Consider the following 8,178-nt stretch of genomic DNA (forward strand, 5'->3'; position numbering starts at 1 on the left):
AGGCCATACATTAGAAGTGTTAAGGCAGGGCTTAAGAACCTGGATATTTATCTGTTTTAAAAGTCTTTTATAGACAACAGTGTTTGAGGTCATCCATGACTGAAAACCAATTATACAATAATAGATTGATTAGGGTTAACAAATGCATGTCTCTGTACATTTCACCATATGATTCTGTCATTAGAAAACAAACAATAAGTAAAAAGAGCAGAGGTTATTTTGTCCCTCTTCTATCTTTGGGATCAAAGGTGATTAATAAATAAAAATATTTTCATAATTTTGAAAATTTCTTCTTTTTGAAAAAAAGAGCCCACTTTCCTCATATTAGGCTATAATCTGAGTAGAGATCAAGTGCCTGGTTGATAGTTCTGTGTTATCTTAACTGTGAATCTAGGAATTAGCACACAACTAGAATATAGTAGATATTTTGCAAATGAATAAAATGACACCTTCTTTCATTTGTTCTATGATAATTTCTTCCAAATTTTATGGTATTTCTAGTTCTAGTATTCTATTCTTTCTCAAATCTATTGTATCATATAAGCCCAAGGTATGACTATTATCTCTTTTTTTTGGTCTTTGATATTACCCCCTTTCAGTTTTACATTTTTCTCCAAACTAAAAAACTCAAACTGTGCTAGCATTATAGTTCCCTATCCCCACTCTGGTTACATGTTTCTTGATGCAGTGTGATATGTAGCATCTTATTGGTACAGTAGATGGATAGATAATGGCTCTGATGGGAACATGCAAATAAAATTTCTATTTTGTTTTAACATCCCTTAAGGACATGCAGGGTGGCAGATTGTGTTACTGATTGAAATGTTTATCTGCCATTCCTGTAAATTATCTTGCAACATCCATTCCTTCCTGATGGGAGGAGAATACTTCGTGACCACACTAACATTAAGCATGTTCCCGTGACTTGATTTGGCCAGTGGTTAGAATATGAGCAGACAGGACAGGAGCCATGTTCAACCAGAACCCCTGAGAGCATCGCATGGTTTACCCACCAGTGTTTTCTCCTTTCCATGAGATGCGGATGGACGTTACTTTTTCAGCCCAGACTATAGATTTGCAATGTGGGTGATACTGCCCTCAGTGGCGTATAATTGATTCTTGGGTGGGGGAATTGGCAAAAAAATGAGAGTAGAGATATACATAAAGTACATAAACATATTTTAAAAAGAGTAGAAATGGGTTGAGAAACACTGGAGTCAATCGTCAGCATGTAGAAGAAACATGCAGCAGAGCCACAGAATGAGTCAACCCACAGCTGACGTGCACTGTGACTAAGAAATAAACCCATGCTGTGTGATCCACTCAGGGTTTGAGGTTGTAACCGTGGTACAGCCTGATGATAGCTGACTGCCACAACTAGCAATCTGTTGGCTTTTGTGGCCTTAACAGCACTCTCCGGGATGTACATGGGCCCAGCTGTTGAGGTTTGGTTCAGAAGGCCTGGTGTGGAGTCTGGGAATATTTATTTTTGGAAAGCTTTCCTAGTAATTTTCCAGTGAATGTTTAGGTATGGGCCAGTGATGTTAATGAGGCCAAAGTTTTATGATTCGCTGGCAGAATCTAGCCATCTAGGTAAATTTGTCTCACATGTAACATTTGATGTTCTGAGCTACTTCAACATTATCATCTGACAGCTATCACAGACACTACATGACAAAAGTATCCTAAGCCAAGAGGTAATTTGCAAAACCCACCGGAAGCTTCTTTAGTATTTCTTCCTCCTGTATTTCCTCAAATCTATAGTTATTGTTCTTCTTAAACCAGCTTTGGAACTTGACTGCAGAATATTTGGTGATTTACTTCCATTCCAGCCTCAGCCCCCCAGCCTCTGGTTTCCATTCTGCCTATGGAAACCACGGTCTGGAAATGGAAGCCTGGCTCAGTGTTTGGTTCCCTACTTAGCACTTGCCCTCTTTTTCATTTCAAACTGGGATCCTGATTTGGTTTTGTTGCTTGTGGATCCAAGATCTTCCAGGTGCAACTCAGTCATCTGTGGCTGGTCTAAGCCTTTTTGGCAATCCTGATTTGTTTTCCTTCACCAGCGGCTGCTTCAGAGGGAGAACATAGGTCCAGTTCTCACCAATGTGATGTGAAGGGAAATCTGTTGAGGACTGCGGGAATATTTTTGTCTTCCTTTCTAAAACGGGCTTAGAAGAAGTTCCTTTTTTTCCCCATTCTCTTTCTGCCAGGGATGGCTGTAGATGAAGATGTAATGAGCAGAGCTGCAGAAGTTATCTGGTGACAATATATTATATGTTACTGACATTTTGAACAAAGCAGAAAAGACTGAAAGGATTTTGAGTCTTTGATGACACCCTTAAGCTGCTGCTCTAAACCTAGAATTTCCTAACTTCAATTTTTTTATATGTGAGAGATTTAAATGCTTTCACTATTAAAGCCAATGTTAATTAAGCATTCTGTACTTGCAAGCAAAAGCATCTCTAACTGACATAAACTTTCTTCTCAATAAAGACTTTTCCATCTACTCCTGTCCACATTTTCTTTCTTTCAAGTTCCTGATTGTCTCTATTACATATTTGGTACTTATGCCTTGCCAACTATTTCACATATATACATCTTGCCTCTCTAATGGTTTGTAAATGTTTTGTTAGCGGGAAACAGCCTGTTTTTTATTGTAAGTGTTCCACACAATGACTTTCTCAGGATGGAACAATTAAGATTGTGTTGAATACCTGAATGATGTTCATCCTACAAAGTTAATCATTTCAAGGCCAACTGTTAAAATCAGTACTTGCCCAAGTTGACAGCATCCGAAACCAGCTGAAAGCAGCCTTCTTGCTATTTTGAAGATCTACGAGTTAACAGGACCTGGACACTGAGATATACAGTGAAGTTTCTATGAAGGAAAGACTAATACCCTTTGGATAAGGTAGAGTTCACTTCATGTATTTGTACCTTTTAAACTTGACTTCATGTATTTGTACCTTTTCACCTCATAGTTGCATGTCTTTAATGACATCTTTGGTCTGTGAATATTTGAAACATTAACATAATTATCTATCTTAACATATTGTATTTACCACCTGCTGGGGATGAAACATTGAAACTATCACTAGTAGCTCATTAACAATAACACTAGTCCCTCATTAACAGTGTTGACCCAATTACGTGTTGTACATCCCAGAGACAAATAACTGTAATTGCAACTCAGAAGTGATTTCATAAACACAAAGATTCTTTTTTTGAAATGCAAATTGGAACGCATTATTTGAATTTTCCACATAAATACAGGTTTAAATGAAACAAAGTCATTCAACCAAATAAAATAAAAATTCAATCTAAAGAGAGGCCATTTGGAATCAATTGGTACAGAGCACATTCTGCTTTGAAGGATCAAAACACTGTCATTGCTGGGTGCAGAAATTAAACAAGTTCGCAACAATGAATGCCAGACATCTGGTAAGTGAGATCTACCCTGGCTATCAGCAGGTAGTGATTTTCTTTTGGACTCATTCAGAGTATTGTCTGTTGCCTGGACAATGGAAGTCTGATGAAGCATTAATATAATCTGCCTGCAGGTCTTAAATAAGCTTCATTGAAAAGATGGAAAACTGGAGAGATTTGTGTGGTAAAAAAATTAATTGTGCATATACACGCACACATACACACACACATAAATAACAATGCCTCCACCATCATGTAGAAAAGATCTGTATAAACAGAAGCAAATACAGCGTGATATATTTGCAGAGGTAGGGAATGTTCTTTTACCGAGACAATTACTATGATAAAAATTAGGCAAAGTTAGCCCAGGGAAACTGGGAAGAGACAGCTCTGAGAAAGAAAACCTGTGCTGAAGTCAAGATGTTAAAAGCAGAGACATTTCTTCAATATGAGCAGACTGCTCCACAGCCGTTTTTTCTGTTGAGGGAAAATTACTGCTGCAGGAATGGGGCCGAGGGATGGAGAAGGAAGAAAAACAGAGGGGAGAATGAAACTGAAATTTACTACCTAGAAAACCAGCTTCTAGGATTTCATGGGATGTCTCAGTTCAACAAACATTCGGGGCGGTGGTGGTGCCTGTTCTTATTCTCTTACTTAATGAGGCAATGTGTTGATAAAATGCTGTGTTTACCATTTAAAACATTAAAATAGCCAAGCACATACTGAGTGCCAGAAATCTCCCAGGCATTGTTATGATTGCTGGAGGAGGGATCCTAAGGATGAACACCCGTCTCTCTCATGCGTTAATATCAAATAGTGAAGATAGCCCTAATACATTTTATCACTGAGAAAAAAAGTTCTGTGCCCTCTCTTATGGGCTGAAAGAGCATGAGAAATACACTTCTGGCTGGGACACAAGCTGTATGATCAAGGGCAAAATACTCTGGCTGGGTCTCATTTTCCTTGTTTTTAAAGTCTGTTTCCTTCTCTACAGGCAGTTGTGAGAATCAAATAGTGCAAAGTTTATGAAAAGTGCTTTAAAGATGGCACCCACACAATGAAAAGTGTTGATGCCATCTATAGGAGAGCAGGTGAAGCGGGAATTGATTCTGGCAAAGGACACACTTTGGGAGTCCCATGAAACTGCAGCATGGCCAGAGTGCTTGACCACCCAGAATGTGCTGAGTTTAGGACTTAATCTGATCCTGTGGATCAATTGTAATTGACTTATGTCACACAAATTTTGCCATTTCTGCAGGAGCCTTTGATGGAAAGTCATTGGGACATTACGTGGTTTCTTAACGTGGACAACATTAAGGGACTTTTTTTTGCCCAATATTACTAAACTCTTGGTGATTGCATTTTAAATGAGCACCTTTCAGTCCTTCTTCCATATTGCTGAGGCATCTTCAATGCATTTGTAAAAAAGCATGTAACTTGACTCTCCTCATATCTTAGCCCCCTGCAGTTTTGAACATGTGTTTTTATTAGCTAATTTCAGTTTTAAAACAAACCTCAGGCACAGAAGGTAGAATAGGCAGGGTTTTTTTCCATTTCATTATAGAAGAAAAGAAGGCACAGACGTTTGCCAAGTGACTTAGTGCTTACTAGGGACAGAGCAAACAGAGAACTTGAGGTTTTACTTTCCATTATTATTATAACGCTGGTTTTTCTCAGCACAGATCTGGACATTCTGATGCTCAGAAGTAAGTGCAGGGTCAGTTGAAAGCATCATTTAACTAACTCTCTTCGTTATGCCATCACTAATATTGCATCATGCCGTCTTTTCCCACAGTGAGGTTTATTTTCGTTTTTGTTTCCCAGAGTTGAAAATTTAATTAGCTATCTTTTCTTTCTGTCCAATTAAGGTAAATGATAAAATAAGGTAAATCAAAGAAAATACTTATATTTAAGGTTCTCCAAAGTCATCCGAAAAGCGTAACAATGGCAAGCATTTATTTTCTGACTTTATGACTTTGGTTAATTTTTTTCTCTTTCTCCTCTTCCTTTCTCTCTCTCTTTCTCTTTCTCTCTCTCTCTCTCATGCACACACACACACACACACACACACACACACACACTCACACATCCCCCTCAATGGGCCATTTGTCTGTTGACTGTGAAGTGATGCCTGCCTTTGTGATTTGACTCTGAAAGTTTTTATCCCCAGCAATAAGAGATGACTGCTCCAAACTTGGATTTCTAATGGATCACAGATCTCTAGGTGTGGGATAAAGGGGACTTCATTTACAAAGATGAGTCTTAAATTCGGGGCTAGGATTCCTTTACTTTATTTCTTGCAGTCTATTCAAAATAATGTGGTGTAACAAGGGGCTCCTTACTACAGGAAAATCAAGTTTTACCTTTCCCGAATGTATTGGAACAGCAATTAAAAAGAAAATTTGGAAACAGGAGTAATATTATGGTAGTGTAAGAATTATTGCTTTTTCCCCAAAATCAGTATCAAGACTGAACCAGATGATGTTGTTTCAAACACAAAAAAAGTCCGACTTAACAATTTAGAACAAAAAAAAACGAGTTTTGCAGTATATACCAAAAGCAAAACACAAAACAAAACAAAACAAACCCCCACATATTTAAATTTAATAAGTAAAGTTCTCTTGGCAGAGTTTTAAGTATCTGCAGTAGAGGAAGCAGCTGGCTGCATTATAGCTCTGTAAATGAAGAAATATTAAGCCAAACAAAAATACCAAGATGAAACTTATAGTTTTATACCTGGCAATGCTGAGCATCAAGGCAGTGTGTGTGTGTGTCTATAAAGTTGGCTGTGTAAATAGTCTTTGTATCTGTTCACAGCTCTGTTATACGGCAATGTTTTCCAGAATATCTCATTTGGTATTTCCATTAACTGTGAGGAAAACCCAGCCAGTAAACTGGTATGCAAATGTAACAAAAAATGATAATGATTTTGATGATTAATAAAAGAAAAGGGAAGAGTATCTGTAAGATTCATTTACCTACCATCCCTAACTACATCCTTGGTAATAACATCCTAAGTTTTCAGTGAGTACCACTTTGTCCAACTCTGAATCTATGTCATTGAAATGTTGTTAACTAGGTAGCATCACCCAGGTTTAGTCAATGAGAACTTTTAGAGGGATTTAAAAAATAGAATTGTCAGATATATACTTCCTTTTTCGGATTTCCAGCACCAAGGACAAAGCAAGCTTTGTCTAGTGGCATCATAGGTACTATATAGACAGCCTGTGTGAGATAAAAGCCATCACACAGGGTAGGAAAAAAGAGAAGGAGGGAGTCAAGCTGAGCCCTGTGAGTGGCGCCTTTGCCTGCCTATAAAGGAGAATTTCTGATAATTGGAAAAACGTGTATTCTTTAGGTGAGTTCCCATTTGGCAAATAAACAGCACCTTCATGAAAAGGAGAATAGTCTTGCGCTTCTGGATGAATGCAGCTCATGATTTTGAGAGTAGAGTGTGGCTGGGTGCATATGTACAGTGCACACACTGAATAACCATATGTGGTTGCCCAATCTATTGCCATTTCTTGCATCCCTGGATCCAGCCATTTCTGCAGCTACTGTATCCTTGGACTTTGCCATTACGTGAGTCAATAATTTCCCTTTCTGCTCACAGAAGTTGAAAGTCACTTGCAATCAAATGAACCCTGTACTTAGTAAGTAGAAGCAGAATGTGCAAGTGTCAGATCTCAGAATGAAATTGGTTAAGATGGGGCATGGTTTGAATATTTGTCATCTATCTCAAGCTATAGCAGCGTAAATGGTTAAATTATGGTTTATCGACTCTCAGAACTCAGACAATCATTTCTATTAAAGCTTGAGTTTTAGTGTTTATGTAAAATTGGTCTGTGGTTTTAATTTTGTTTTGCTTTCTAAAATTTATGCTTCATTTTTAAGATGAATTGGGAAGAATTTCCACTGAAATGGAATTAGCTCACACTGAAATATATAATCAGACTTACTGAGACAACTGTCTGGGACTAATCTTTATTGAAATAATTTATTGGAAACCATTTCTTTCATAGTTCTTGCTCTACTCAGTTTCTCTACCTGTTATTTAGAAAAATATATCAGGAAAATTTACTTGAGAATTTTTTATCATTCCTGATGGTAAAAAATATTTGCAATTACTCTTCTTTCTTGACTAGTCATCTACAGATGTTTCTTTTTTATGTACATTTTTAAAAGCCAAAATTTTAAATGTGTAAAACTACTTATACTATTTATCTTTTAATATTTGATTGCTATTTGCTTTCATCATTATAGTTTCTTCATATTTTTCTTAGATATTTTGGTATTTTTTCCAGTCTCTCAAATTGATTTTATTCTCTCTTTTATAATAATGAAAGTATTTAAGGCTGTGGGGTTTTTTTCTGCTGAATGCAGCTTTTGCTGTATCATTTAAATTATGGTGCATTAGCAATATTGTTACTTTCTAAATAGTCTGCAACTGTAATTTAGATACTCCCTTTAAACCAGAAGTAATTTAGTAATATTCATTTGTTATGTGTGTGGGTATGTGCCTGTGCCTGTTTATTTCCAAGTCACTGAATTTGTGTTTGTTCATCTTTTATTGTATAATTTAATACATTATGCTGATGACAGATAAGAGTCCCAGTATATACAAAGCAGTTGGAGAAAAATCTGGTCACATAATCTTAGGGGATTTTACTGGCTTCAAGATGTTTTGAGAAGACATGAGTGCTAACTTATTCAAAAAAAGAAGCTTTCACTGGGTTTTATGAATCTATCCAC

The 8,178-nt window shown here is 37.0% G+C and overlaps 1 annotated feature.

Moving 5' to 3' along the window:
- Nucleotides 2,242-4,348: an enhancer, noted in NCBI's record as "VISTA enhancer hs1726". NCBI's record gives its function as "enhancer in: hindbrain (rhombencephalon)[4/6]" and the evidence as "EXISTENCE:transgenic organism evidence [ECO:0001131][PMID:17130149]".

The sequence above is a fragment of the Homo sapiens genome, chromosome 18, assembly GCF_000001405.40.
Source record: "Homo sapiens chromosome 18, GRCh38.p14 Primary Assembly".
NCBI lineage: Eukaryota > Metazoa > Chordata > Mammalia > Primates > Hominidae > Homo > Homo sapiens.